This window comes from Homo sapiens, chromosome 11 (assembly GCF_000001405.40).
Source record: "Homo sapiens chromosome 11, GRCh38.p14 Primary Assembly".
Taxonomy (NCBI): domain Eukaryota; kingdom Metazoa; phylum Chordata; class Mammalia; order Primates; family Hominidae; genus Homo; species Homo sapiens.
Window position 1 is genome coordinate 74,452,791 of NC_000011.10, and position 14,977 is coordinate 74,467,767.

Genomic DNA, 14,977 nt, shown 5'->3' on the forward strand with positions numbered 1-14,977 from the left:
CCATCAATAAATGTCTGTCAGATGGCCAGGTGTGGTGGCTCACGTCCGTAATCTCAGCACTTTGGAAGGCTGAGGCGGGAGGACTGCTTGAGCTCAGGAGTTTGAGACCAGCCTGGGCAACATAGCGAGACCTCATCTCTACTAAAATAAAATATTAGCTGGATATGATGGAACACGCCTGTAGTCCTAGCTACTTGGGGAGCTGATGCGGGAGGATCGCTTGAGCCTGGGAAATCGAGGCTGCAGTGAACCCTGATTAGGCCACTGCACTCCAGCCTGAGCCACAGAGCGAGACCCTGTCTCAAAAAAAAAAAATTCTGCCTCAAGGTCTGTTTCTAGGAAACCCAACTTCAGGCCACTGGTGTCAGTACTCTGCCATCCTTTTCCCAAATCACTTTCTCATTCATCTCTGGAGACTGTTCAGATCCATGCTCTGGGCTGTGCGTACCATGGGACCTAAATTGGGCTGAAAGTACATGAAGGTGCTAGGTCAAAAACAACTGGGCTCTGTGGAAGTACTTGTAAGGAATACCTACTTACTACATAGGGTTGTTATGAGGGTTTTAAAAGCTAAATGAATTCAAGTGTGTAAAACGCTGAGACCAATGCCTGGCATGGAGTAAATGCTCTTAAGTATTAGTGCAGGGATTTCTGGGATGTTTTTGTTTACTTATGTATTCCAAGTGTGCCTAGGTGAATGCGTGGCACATAGTAGGCACTCAACAATACCTGTTGAATCCATGATTGGTTTTGCTTTGAGGGCTTAAGGCGATGTGCCGAGATTTGGCCAGCAGAGGGCAGAACCTGGGAAGACAAAGCTCCTACAGGCTTTGACCTACAAGAGGTGGCAGGACAGGCTCCCAGACGACTGGGTTGGAGGGAGGGCTGCGTGAAGTGCCTATACCATAGGATATGGATAGAGATAGAGATAGAGATATAGAGATACAGAGATACAGAGATACAGAGATACAGATATATAGATATATAGATATATAGATATAGATATATAGATATAGATATCTTTTGAGACGGAGTTTCACTCTTGTTGCCCAGGCTGGAGAGCAATGGTGCGATCTTGGCTCACTGGAACCTCTGCCTCCCGTGTTCAAGAGATTCTCTTGCCTCAGCCTCCCAAGTAGCTGGGATTACAGGCGTGCACCACCAAACCTGGCTAATTTTGTGGGTTTTTTTAGAAGAGATGGGGTTTCACCATGTTGGTCAGGCTGGCTCGAACTCCTGACCTCAAGTAATCCACACTCCTCAGCCTCCCAAAGTGTTGGGATTACAGGCGTGAGCCACTGCGCCTGGCCACCATAGGATATTAGAATGTTTAAATTTTACTCCCTTCAAATCCTAGATTTTTATTTAGTCCAACCTGGGTGTGTGTAAGGAAACATACCAAGTTCTTAGTTTGTGAATTCAGACAGATCCGTTGTTCCAGGCCCCGAGATCCCTGGAGTTGCCCTGGTGTCTGCAGCTCCTTCTTTAAACTTTGAGCTACCCCATACACCTCAGAAATTCCCTTTTGTACTTATGCTAATATACATCAGGTGCCTGTAACTCACAACCAAAATAATTTGTATTATTTTATGATTATGCCCATGGAGTGTGAGGACTGTGTGAAGGGGAGCCTTCTCCACTGGGGACACTGAAGTCATGGAGTAGCCCCAGGAGGCCTGCTTCCTGCTGTCTCCCCAGCCTACCTGCCCTCTCCAGGAGGGAGCTCCCCAACATCTGCCTCCAAGCTTCCCTGATCTTGATCCCTTCATTCACTCTGCCCATTTAGCTCTGTCCTAGCTTTCAAAGCCCAGTTCAAGTTCTACCTCTCTCAAGTTCTACCATGGGACCTAAACTGGGCTGAAGGTACATGAAGGTGCTACAGCAGAAACACCTCTGTGGAAATACTTGTAAGGAATACCTACTTACTACATAGGGTTGTTATGAGGGTTTTAAAAGCTAAATGAATTCAAGTGTCTGACTCCTCCTAGTCAATTTCATTTCTCAAAATCCTTATGGCATTCATCACCTAACCATTCATTCTTACACCCAATTGCGTTCCATATTTTATTTGGAAGTTTGGGCTGGGTGGTGTCTAAAGTCCTATCCACGTAAATTTCTGAATCTGTTGTCTTCCCATATGTCACATCTCCTTAAGGAAGTCTCCACCTTCTCCCTCAAGAAGAGATGAGGAAGGGCTTGAGCAACAGGGCTCAGCACAGGTTTGCAGAGCATCAACATAACTGCATATGGCAGCAAATGTGTTCCATGATCCTCCATTCAAGAACCCAAAGGCTTTTATTTTTATTTTTTCAAAATAGAAGTACCTTTTTTCCTTTTATTATACAAGTAACATACTTACGGTCAAGTCAGTCAAATATTACATAAATTTATCATGCGGAAAGGGAAAATCACCTATAACCCAATTCCTCAGAGATAACTGCTGTCAGAATATTATTTCAGAGTTCTGCTATACACAAATACGCATGTTTCAATGGGTACTTCCAGGGACCGCATGGAGATCCCTTAAGTTGAAACTGGACAAACAGAACAGTGGATGGTTCTAGCTGAGATCTGGGATAGTTTCTGAATTCAGAAGTGTTCACCAGCCACATTGCATGTATTAGCTGGAACCATATATGAAACTACGATACTCAGCTGTTTCTAACCTACAAACACAGTGATTACATATGGCTCAACTTAATGTATATGAAGCCTAGAATGTCAGAACTGATAGAGCCTTAGAGACTTTCAAGTCTATTTCATTATGTTGAAGAGGAAAACGGATGAGGGAGAGAAGTGTCCAGCCTAAGATCATACATCACCTTAAGTGGTAGAATCAGGGCTGCTTCTCTTCCTACTGGACCATGTACCTGTCTCTCATACTCTGCTTCTTTTAATATAATAATAATTTAGGTGCGATATCAGTCTTTTTTGTTTTTGTTTTTGTTTTTTTTTGAGACAGAGCCTTGCTCTGTCACCCAGGCTGGAGTGCAGTGGCGTGATCTTGGCTTACTGCAACCTCCACCTCCCGGGTTCAAACAATTCTCCTGCCTCAGCCTCCCAAGTAGCTGGGAATACGGGCACCCGCCACCAGGTCTGGCTAATTTTTGTATTTTTTTAGTAGATGGGGTTTCACCATGTTGGCCAGGCTGGTCTCGAACTCCTGACCTCAGGTGATCCGCCCACCTTGGCAGTATCAGTCTTTTAGAAGCAGATTCAACATGACATCAGAAAACTTCTCTCAGATAGTCGTGGTGGCTTACACTTGTAATCCCAGCACTTTGGGAGACCAAAATGGGCAGATAACTTGAGGACAGGAGTTCGAGACCAGCCTGGGCAACATGTGAAACCCTGTCTCTACTTAAATATATATATATATATATATATATAAATTAACTGGGTGTGGTGACAGGAACCTGTAATCCCAGCTACTCAGGTGGCTGAGGCAGGATAATTGCTTGAACCCGGGAGGTGGGGGTTGCAGTGAGCCAAGATTGGGTTGCTGCACCACAGCCTGGGTGACATAGGGAGACTGTCTCAAAAAAAAAAAAAGAAAAGAAAAGAAAAGAAGTTTCTCACATCACTCAGTCAAAACTGAAAAGACTGCTTGCTTTGGAGGTAGTTTAGTCCTGTTGCCTGGCAATGTGGCTGGGAAGTGCCCTGTGACTTGGTTCAAGAAGCATATGAACCATAGAGCTAACGAGGCCTAACATTCAGGGTCCTGACTCACATGAGCTCCTTCTTAAGGTCCTAGCAGGGGCCCTAGCAACATATTAATGTGGCAGTATATTTTCATAATGTTTGCAAAAGTAAGATATTTTAGAATTCTTTTTCTTAAAGAGAGTCCCCAGAATTGTATGACCTTCAGGCCTGGATCCACTCCTGTGTAGCACAGAGTTTTGAAAAGCACTAGGCAAGGAGACCAGAGTTCCTGGGTTCCAATCATGGCACTATGCAGGCCCAAATGGGCAGCACAGCACTTGCCCTGCTTTCTTCACGGGAGCGGGGGCAGGGTGGTGGTGGTAAATCATATCTGTGATATGGGATAGTCATCACTGCTTCTCATGGCTGAAGATAACACATAAAAAATGTGTCCCCAGAGCATCTTCCTGTCTCATTTCCCTCTGCTACAACTTCTTCTCCGTTCTCCAATCCCCAGGCCCCTAATACTCCAGCCACTGAACCAGTTATTGGTCATTATCTGTTGCTACTTTTATATGTTTGTTCATGGGCTCCCACTGTTTATAAAGTCTATCTTTTCCTGGGAAAAAATCCTTATGCACAAGGCTTCGGTCTACCAGCCCCTCTTCTCCCACCCCAGTGACGACCTCCCTTAACCGTGTTTCTTGTTGATCTTACAGATAGGGACACTGAGACCTGATGCAGTCCACAGCAGAGTTCTGGAGGCCCCAGACGCAATCCCCAGGTGTCTTGGTCTTCCACCGTCCCAGCCCTCTCGTGTTAGATCATAGACACACGGTTCTTGATATACACATGATAGGGGTCACTACGCTTGTCCACTTTGCGGGAGCGGGTGTATCCCAGGATGAGGCTGCCCACAGTTACAGCAAATAGAAACATGACAAAGAGAATGTACATGTAGGAGTTGTCATCACGGCCAGGTAGGCTGGCCCGCCTCTCTTCAGTCTGGTTGTCTGGCCCCAGCCCTGGCCCTGGCCGGCAGAGCAAATTGCTGTGAAGAGTGGCATTTAGAGCCTTCAGCACGGCATGCAGGCTCTCATACCAGGTCTCCGTTCCATTGGTAGTCTCCATAGCAACAGGGATTGAGGTGGGGGAAGACTCGGTAGAAGCTCTGGTGGCAAAAGAAAAGAGAGAGGGGATGGCTCTGTCACCTGCAGCTCAAATGACCTCCTCCCTTCAGATCCCAGGTAAAATCTTAGCATCATGGCTGATATGGTTTGGCTGTGTCCCCACCCAAATCTCATCTGGAATCATAGCTCCCATAATCCCCATGTGTCATGGGAGGGACCCAGTAGGAGGTAACTGAATCATGGGGGTGGGTTTTTCCCATGCTGTTCTCATGATAGTGAATAAGTCTCACGAGATCTGATGGTTTAGAAAGGGCAGTTCCCCTGCACCTGCTCTCTTGCCTGCCACTGTTTAAGATGTGCCTTTGCTCCTCCTTTGCCTTCTGCCGTGATTGTGAGGCCTACCCAGCCGTGTGGAACTGTGAGTCCATTAAACTTCTTTTTCTTTATAAACTACCCAGGCTCAGGTATTTCTTCATGGCAGTATGAAAATGGACTAATACAATAGCTTATTCTAGCTGCTTGATTACATGTTTGTCTTCTCCATTAGACCATACACTAAACAATAAGGGCAGGGCCTATATTTGTTTTACTCACTGCTATATGCAATCACTTATGACAGCATTCAATAAGTAAGTACTCAATAAATAATTGTACAACAAAGCCTTCCCTGACCATCAGAACCCATATTAATCTCTCCTTTCTTTGGTTTCTATAAATCACTGAACTTTAGATTAGAAGGAACTTAAGGATTATTTAATATAACTCTTGCCATTTTATACACAGGGAAACTGAGGCCTTGAGAGAATAAGTGGCTTGTCCATGATCACAGAATATTGGAAGTAGAGCCAAGACAGAAAGCCCTGCTCTTTGTGGCTAGCTTAGAGCTGCTTCCACTTCCATGCTAGCTCTCAGCAGGACTGTGCAGCACCATTAGAAGACATTCATCACAACTCTCCTTGAGCACAGTTCTCTTTAGACTGCACAGACAGGTTGGGCACAGTGGCTCACGCCTGTAATCCCAGCACTTTGGGAGGCTGAGGCGGGTGGGATCACTTGAGATCAGGAGTTGGAGACCAGCCTGGCAAATGTGGTGAAACCCGTCTCTACTAAAAATACAAAAATTAGCTGGGCGTGGTGGTGAGCGCTTGGTAATCCCAGCTACTTGGGAGGCTGAGGCAGGAGAATCACTTGGACTCAGAAGGTGGAGGTTGCAGTGAGCCAAGATAGAGCCACTGCACTCCAGCCTGGGCCACAGAGCGTGACTTTGTCTCAAAAGAAAAAAAAAAAAAGACTCCACGGACACCTTTTGGAAGACACCTGGGGATGGTTTAAATTTCATCCTGCCTGGAGGCCAGAAGCTGGATCATTTGCCCTCTCAAGCATCCTGTGTCCCAAAGACTAGATATTCCTAGCTATTTGTAGAAATTCTGTTGGAAAGAGGTGGTCAGGGAAACGGGAACAGGTTGGTAACCACTGCAGGCACTGGAGAAGAGAACAGCAGCTTGGGCCTGAGGGCGGGAGAGTGAAAGGAGTTCTCAGTCTGGCTTGGGGTTTACCTGCCCACAAAAAGAAGACACAAGCACGCCAACTATCTTGTCTCCTGAAATAAAGTCATTATGTACCTGGCATATAGTAAGTGATTATAAATGTTCCTTTCCCTTCTTCTCAGAGATCCTTAGTCTATAATATAGAAAACATTTTTTTTTTTTTTTTTTTTGAGACGGAGTCTCACTCTGTCGCCCAGGCTGCAGTGCAGTGGCGCAATCTCGGCTCACTGCAAGTTCCGCCTCCTGGGTTCACGCCATTCTCCTGCCTCAGCCTCCCCAGTAGCTGGGACTACAGGCGCCCGCCATCACGCCAGGCTAATTTTTTTGTATTTTTAGTAGAGACAGGGTTTCACCATGTTAGCCAGGATGGTCTCGATCTCCTGACTTTGTGATTCGCCCACCTCGGCCTCCCAAAGTGCTGGGATTACAGGCGCCCAGCCAGAAAGAACATCTTAAAACAGACTTGCATCCTTGTCTCTGAAAAACCATATGTAATTCCCTATAAACAAGGCCCCACACTCACTTCCTTTAGGAAGCCTCCATTCAGTGCTCCCCACCTCTCAGCCACACTACACTGCCTTTATCATCACAGCCTTCCCTTCCCCCCAGCACTTACATATAAGGCAATATGTGGCTGTCCTCTTGTTTTTGATAAGGATATCATCAGACCACATGCGTCTGGTCAGCAGGGCTATGTCTCTTACCCCAGTCTGGAGGACTACCCTGAGACTGGGTGTTCTCCTTTCCCAGGGCACTACCTTGAGACTGGCTGGGTATTCCCTTTTTCTAGATTGGCTGGGTGCTCTCCTTCTCTCAATAGTTTCTAGTAGAGATGTTCACTTTAAGGAATTCTCTATGGGCCAAGCATTCAGTCCTCCATCATATGGGTAGAACTGTTAACAAACTAATATGTGACTATTAACCATAAGATCTCTTCCCTGGAAAAGATGATCATTCTGACTATGAAAAATATTCATCAATGGCTCTATGAACACAATCAGCCAGGACTGGGCAGCATTTCATGCAAGGCCTTTGGGGCCTTCTGACATCTAGTACTTGTGCTGCCTTGTCTGGATGGAGGAGGGGAAAAGAACAAGAGCTCACTGAGTTAAGATCCAGGAGATACACGTTCTCATCTACTACCCCATGTGTCAGGCAAGAACTCTGTGGCTGCTGCTTCCCTCGTGTGGGCCAATAGCAAGTAGGAGCAGCATGATGAAATAAATAACTCAAAAAATAATCTAGATAGTTATCACCAATATGGGCCACACCCTGTGATGGGAGTTCGGGGTGGCTCAGATCCAGTGCCTTCGCCCAGGGGCTCTGATACAATGCAGGGGACAAGCAAAGAGCTACTAAGGCTGAAAGGAATAAGTGATGGATACTGATCAGGGCTCAGAGAGTGTCCACAGTGATGGAGGCATTTGAGTTGGACCTTGAAGGGTTTTTAAGAGGCAGAAAAGATGAAGGAAACATGAGCAAAGGCAGAACAAGAAAGTGTGTAAATGTTTAGAAGAATGGAAAGTAGCATAAAGAGGTTGGAGTGTAAGATGTGTGGAAGAATAGTGTAGGATGTGGGGCAGGAGAGAGAGGATCCAGATCATGGGGGGCCTTGAGTGCCACGCTGTAGAGTTGGAACTTTATTCTGTAGCTAGGGAAAAGCCATGGAATGGTATCTTAAAAGAAGATAAAATGGTCAGATCTGTGCCTGGAAAGGATACTCTGGCTGTCATGTGGACTGGAGGGAGCTGGAATTGAGGCAGTGAGCCCAGCTACCAGAGTCTTGAAATAGTTTAGTGTAAGATGCTGAGTCATGAATTGGGGCAGAGAGGATAACAAAGTAGGGAAGTGGGGGTAGAGACAGTCGTAAGACCTGAGGAGGAAATGGCTAAGTGAGGGTTGAAGGAGGAAGGGGCCTCAGGCAATTTCATAGGTAGACAACAAACAAACAGTGTAAGTGTCTTGATGAGCCTACTCTGAAGGAAATAAGTTCCTTTCCCTGGGTGGGCTTTGGTTTCCTCATCTACCAAAAGACATTATCATGGAGTTGTTGTATGGTAGGTATAGAGTTTCAATTTTACAAGATGAGGAGATTCTGGGGATCTGCTGCACAACAAGGTGAATCTAGTTAACACTACTGAGTGTACACTCAAGAATGACTAAGATGGTATATTTTTATGTTTTGTGTGTGTGTGTGTGTGTGTGTGTGTGTGTGTTTTAAGCACAATTTTAAAAAATAGGCCAGCTGTGGTGCCTCACTCCTTTAATCCCGGTACTTTGGGAGGCTGAGGCCAGTGGGTCACCTGAGGTCAGGAGTTCGAGACCAGCCTGGCCAACGTGGAGAAACCCCGTCTCTACTAAAAATACAAAAATTAGCCGGGTACACGCCTGTATTCCCAGCTGCTCAGGAGGCTGAGGCAGGAGAACCGCTTGAACTCAGGAGGTGGAAGTTGCAGTGAGCCGAGATCACACCACTGCACTCCAGCCTGGGCAGGAAAGCAAGACCTCTGTCTCAAAAAACAAACAAACAAACAAACAAAAAACCCCACAAAGAAAGATGATCATCCTTTCCCTCCTCCTTCAAGGCTTGCTATGAGCATATACTTGTATTATGTAGAAGAGGATTAAAAACTTTTTTTTTATTTTCAAGAAGCAAATATGTACACATAGGTTTAAAAAAAAAAAAAAAGAATGGACGCAGCACATACAGTGAAGGTGAAAGCTCCTAGTCGTCCCAAGCTCCATCCCAGGGCAGGGCAGTTACCATTCAGTTTTCTTAGGTATCATTGGAAAGGGGTTTTAACTGACAGGGAGAGGGAGGGAAATCTCAATCTGGAAGACTCACCAGACTGCTGGCAAATCCACTGGCTCTCAGTCAGTTTCAGGAGTCCCTTTGTGGACACACTAAGGCTCCTCCACCCCCGAGCCTCTTCAGGATGTCTCTGGACACATCTGGGATCTCAGTATTGACTTCGGAGCTGGGAAAGCCCAGAGCTAGAAAGCAGGAGAGAAGGCAGAAAAGGAAGGAACCAGACACAAAGCACAAACTTCAGAACCAGGGTGGATTGCCCAAGGCCAGGCCCCAAGGATTATGCAACAGTCCTGCTGTGGGCTCTGACCCCCTCCCATGGCCCCTCCCCTTCCTGCAGCAGCTGGGTCAGGCCAGCCTAGGGTTGCAGTTAAAGGAACTGTGCAGTGACCAAAGGGCCTCTGATTGCTGTCCCCTACCTCCAGACTTACAGTGTCTTCACTGGGTGACTTCATGAGAAACCTGTTTAAAATGTGGACTCCCACTCAGGGACCAGCTGATGGTGCAGCCTAAAACATTCCCTTTCCTAAGGGTTACCTTAGCAAGGTCCTTTTCGAATCCCAAGGGAATTGACATGAGTGGGAGAATGCCAACTGGCAGCTGGGTTGATATTTTACATAGGAACAAATGATGTGTTACCACCCAATCTATTCAGATAGACAGGATATGAACACGGTCACAGAATGAACACTATCTGTAGCATAGCTTTGTTGTGAAAATTAAAGAACATCATGTAGTGCTTGGCACTAGACACTGCACATACGGTGGTTGTTTTTGTAGAGCAAGGCTGGAAGGGCCTTCAGAGCCCATCTAGGCTATATGCCCTCACTTTACGGTGAAGGAAATGGAAACCAGGGGAGTTGTCCCAGCTCAGCTGCTCCTTGTGTGACTTTGGACATAAGACTTCCCTTTTCTGGGCCTCAGCTTCTGTCCGCATCTGTAAAATGAAGGGGTCTCAGTTGGTTCTAACGTCCTGTGATGATACGAATCATGAAACCATGCTGTGAGACCATGGGAAGTTGGAGAGGCTGATGGGAGAGGCATTTTGGGGGCTTTCTAGAGCTTCTCAAATCCCAAGATAGAGAAGGCTGTGGACCTCTTCCTCACAGGTTAAGATGCTTCTGAGCCCTGGGACTGACTGACATCTAATATCCCAGTCGAGCCAAACTGAGAGATTTACTCATTTTTCCTCTTCACAGCTCACCTGCCAGGATGATCTAGCCTGAGGAGGGGATAGACTCTGCAGAAGGTGGGGGAAGGGGACAGTGTGGAGGGTAGGGTGGGCTTTGAGGCAGGGTTCCATGAGGGGAATAAAGATTCATGAGACCTTTCATGCCTCAGGGTCTCTCTGAATAGACTAGGATGTTTGTGCTTCTGACAGGAGGAGGAAAGGGGCCATAGTTCCACATCTCTAGGTGCTGGGTTTGTATGGGAGGGAAGGCTGGGGTGCCAGGGCCTCCTGTCTGCGTTAGGAGAGGCAGAAAGCTGATGAAGGCACAAGTTGGTTCTCTATGGGGCTCTGGGGCTGCCTCTGGGGCTCAAGCTGGGGACTGGCAGTCAGCAACAGGGGAGTTTTGCCACTGTTTCTGAGCTCCTTGGCTTCCCTGTCCAGGAGAGTCCCTGATTACTGAGATCCTTGGATGGGGGAGATGGAGCTCCTGCCCTGGAGAGGTCTTGCCTTGAAATAGAAGATAGGCCAGTGAGGAAGGAAGGTGAGCAGATGGCCAAGCTGAGAGGGACTTTAAGGATCATCTAGAATCTAGATTCCAGGCCAACCCCTCCATTTCGTAGATGAGGAAACTGAGGCTCAGAAGGGAGAAGTGACTAGTCCAAAATGACATGGCCCATAAATGGCAGCACTCAGACAAGAACCCAGGTGTTTGGGCTACTGTTCAGGTGCTCTTTCCACTACAAATGGCAGTGTTTCCTCACACCTAAGCTTCACATCACACCAGACACAGCCTGTTAGTGTCATGGGGCATCATCTCCTCTAACTTCGTCACTATGGCCTTTTCATGCACCACAGATTCTCGCCAATCTTAGTCAATGATCCAGTGAGATGGAGGTTGGTAAGCTTGGGAGGAGGAGTTAGACTTCGTTTATGCTCTCATCTTCCATGCACCCCACTGCTCCAGACCTACTCCTGATTCCCCAGATGAGCCAGGTTCACTCTCTGTTCCTGCTATTTCCCATACATTCACAGGTTCTCACAAACTGCACTTGCCTTACACTTGTCCAACCCCTAACTTGGAAGTTGGGGAATAAAGCTGTGATCTGAGGGATGAACTGGGGATCTTAGTGGGGTTTTCATTCAGGTTGCTCTGGGGAAAAGTGAAACTCTACCCTTGGGTCTTTCTTTCCCGTCACTCCGTTTCAGCTACTCTTTCAGAATGAGCGTCTTCAGTGTCTGGAAATGAAGTACAGAGAGGTAGGTAGAAAAAGTCACATAAAGCAGGTAGGTGATCCAAAGACAGTTCCTGGGGTGCACAGTTTTACCACTGTCCCCTTGGTGGTCTTACCACTCCTGTGGATTGGAGAGCTGGTGGAGTGGGAGAGGAGTTGAAGGAGTAGCCCTTAGCATCCAGTTGGAAGGACAAAGGAATAGAATCTGAGCTGGAAGAGATCTTCATGATCATGTTGTTGGTGCAACCCCCTCATTCAACCAGTGGGAAAATAGACCCTCCTCCCCAAGGGAATCACCTGCTTAAGGTCTCACAGCTCAGTAGTGGCAGAGTTGGAGCCAGAAACCAAGTATCTTGACTTCCCCTCCACAGACCTTTCCACTATAAGTTCCCTTCTGCCAGTAGGGCAGACTCTAAACTCTTCTGATTACCACTGAAGCTCCTTGAAATGTGACTCTGACACTGGCCTCATCTCCCCACAGCTCTTTTCAGTGGCCTGCACCCATGACACTGAAGTACAGGCCACTCTCCAAATATTCCTTGCACTTGCACATCTCTTGCCTTTGCTCATGCTGTTTTCTTAAACAAGAATGCCCTTCCTCTTTTTACCTGCCTGGCAAACTCCTACTCATCCTTCAAGACCCAACTCCAATTCATCTCTGCAGACCTTCTCCTGGGACTCCTCCTTCCTCACTCCCTAGCCAGTTAGTCTCTCCCTCTTGTTTTTTCCCAAAAGTGCTTTGCACGAAGGCTTATTAGAGCACTATACTGTACTGAAACTCTGTGTGTGTGTGTGTGTGTGTGTATGTGTGTGTGTGTATGTGTATGTGTGTAACTGTGCGCTTTAAGGTAAGAGGGCAGGGTCCTGTGCCTCATACATTTCTTTATTTCCCAGCCCTGATACCTAGCAGGCATTCAAGAATAAATGAATCAATGCCTCTTCTCTAAGAGCATTCCCCCGCTCTGGCACACGCACATACATTCATGAAAACAGTTTACAATATTTAAAAAGCAACCTCCAGGGCAGGGCAAAACAGATTTCATTTGGTCTGGGGAAGGGATGGCTCAAAGAAAAGAAGCCATCTCAGTCAGGTGGGGTGAGTCAGAGGAGGAAGAATTCTAAGCCTTCTTTGGAAGCCCAGATGCTCCCTGCACCTGGACCCCATTCAATCCAAAGGGCAAACATTCTTGGCCTCAAAACACCAGCAATGGCTTTGCAACCCTCTTCCCTGTGTACCTACCCAGGGTGTGGCCACATACACCCACCCACTGCACACACACACACAGTCCAACTCCCCAGTCCCTCAGCCTGTGATCTTGCCGTTCAAGTGTTCCTTTCATGATTCTAATCTTGGCTGTATGCTTGGCTCTGTGTCCTTGAGCACTGCATTTACTTCCTCTGAACCTCATCTATAAGATGGGGATAATGATCCCTGCCCTGCCTACCACACATGAGAACTAGAGGAGACAAGAGATGGGAATGTTTTAGAAATTGCAAACATACAAGATAATTATCAGGCAGGCTGGTCACACTGTTTTCCTTTTCTGTCTCCACATCTTTCCTTTCCCCCCATATTACCAAGAACAACCATCTCTGTGTCTCCTTTCCCACTCCAGGTCTCCTAGCCTCAGAAGCAGCCAGGAGGTTCTTATTATTCTTCTTGATTCCCAGGAACCTCACCTTCTCCAGAAGCCTTCCTGTTTCCTACCCTCTATGATCATTCCCGCAGTCCCTTATCATTGAGGGGTACCATTCTGTAGTCCTGTAGCTGGTGGAGAACACATCAGAGGGGGAATCAGGAGACCTGGGTTCCTGCCCCTACTAGGCCAACACGTCTAGCCGTGCGTTTTGGTTAAGTAACTTTATCACTCTAAGTCTATATCCCTCTAGGCCTCATTTTCCTCATCAGTAAGATGGAGTTTCTTGTCTTGCTTCCCTCTTAGAAGGTATTTTGAGCACTCGCACATTAAGTTTATGGATGTGCTTTGAGACGTATAGACTGAGTGAGGGATGGAGAAGGTGATGGTTATCATCTCAAGGAGTCAAGAAAATCTGAAAGCAGCTTCTAGGCCCCCAGCATGGGTCTTCCTCCATCAGGAACAGACAAAGTGGACGGATGCAAGGAAATAAGGAGGAGCTCACACGTTTACAACATGCCTTTGTAGGTGAAGTGGAGAGAGCCCTGGGCTAGGACTGAGGAAACTTGGGTTCTAATTCTGTTTGGTCTCTGTTGTAACCTTAGGTAAATCATCTCCCCTGGGGCATCAGTTTCCCTATATGCAAATTAGTGGAGAGGATTTTAGGAGGGATACTCTGGTGGGCTTTCACGCAAGAACTAAACTCATTTATTTTCGAGATAAGAGACTCTGAGGTCCAATCCCCCTTTCCCCTTCTGTCCCATGGGGTATGCAGGCAACAGGAGCAGGAGGCCCGTTTTACAAATGGTGGCCCAGGAAAAGCGAGCACAAGGCGCAGAGCTGAGGGATGACTGCCCGGGTTTACACAGCCTGTAAACTAGAACTCAAGTCTCCCGACTCCCAGCCTCGACCTATGTTACTGGCAGCAGAAGATGCTTTTGGGAGTCACCAGGTTTCCCGGGACTAGGTCAGACAGGGTGAAGGACACAGTGAGGTGTAGAGGGAATGGGCAAGTCAGCTCCGCAGAGCCGGTGGCTCCAGCCAAATGAGACTGTGCTGGGTCCTGAAATGTCGTTTCTGCGTGTGCACTGGCTGCCAGCTGCAAGTGTTCGCTTGCACGTCTGTGGGTGTGGAGGAACTTTTCTTGTGGCCGTCTTGAGGGCTGGGAATAACGGCGCAAGTCCCCACGGTTTCCAGACGGGGCGCGCAGAGCCCAGCTCCCTACTCCCACATGCTGCTCCACGATCACTGCGCTCGGGAGGATCGGGGAGGATCCGGGAGGACTAGCTTGGTATTTGCAGCGCCCACCCCTCCCCCACTCCCCCTCGGTTCCACAGTCTCACGGAGAGCGCGCCGTGGCCCTTGGAAGGGAGGCGGGAAGACCCCTCATTTCCACCCCAGGCCGCAGCTCAGCCTTCCCAGCTGGGTGGGTGCCTTACCTGCCTCTCAGCAAGGCTCCGGGGCGCCCGTTTGCTCGCTGGACACGGCGCCCTCTGACCGAGGGTGGCCCAAGCGCTGCGACCCTGTGCATTCCACCAGCCCCGTTCCACTCCGCGGGTGCCCAGCACCGCCCAGCGCGCTCTCTGGCTCTGGGCTCCCACCCGCGCTCGGCTCCCTTTTCCCTCCCCCGGGCGTCCCCTCCCCCTGCCCCGCCCGGGCCCCAGCACACCCACTTCTCCCCGGGCTGGCCTGGAGTGCCTCCGCCCAGCTCCTTGGCCTCCCCCGGCTGTGGGCTCCGACCCTTCCGTCCCCTGCAGCGCCTGCTTCCTGGACCAGAGACCGAAAGCCTCTCGCTCCGCTGGGCCTCAG

At 48.2% G+C, this 14,977-nt stretch overlaps 1 protein-coding gene across 8 annotated transcripts; it reads right to left on the reverse strand.

Moving 5' to 3' along the window:
- KCNE3 (potassium voltage-gated channel subfamily E regulatory subunit 3) lies at positions 2,051–14,759 on the reverse strand. Of its 8 annotated transcripts, XM_017017048.2 has the most exons (5): positions 14,608–14,759; positions 11,472–11,535; positions 9,958–10,065; positions 9,165–9,313; positions 2,051–4,813 (listed from the first exon to the last, which is right to left on the reverse strand). In XM_017017048.2, the coding sequence occupies exon 5, from the start codon at positions 4,771–4,773 to the stop codon at positions 4,462–4,464; it is 312 nt and encodes a 103-aa protein (XP_016872537.1). In that variant the 5' UTR covers positions 4,774–4,813; positions 9,165–9,313; positions 9,958–10,065; positions 11,472–11,535; positions 14,608–14,759; the 3' UTR covers positions 2,051–4,461. The 8 variants fall into 8 exon arrangements, with proteins under 8 accessions (XP_016872537.1, XP_016872536.1, XP_016872540.1 ...); XM_017017047.2 differs by lacking the exon at positions 11,472–11,535; XM_017017051.3 differs by lacking the exon at positions 9,958–10,065.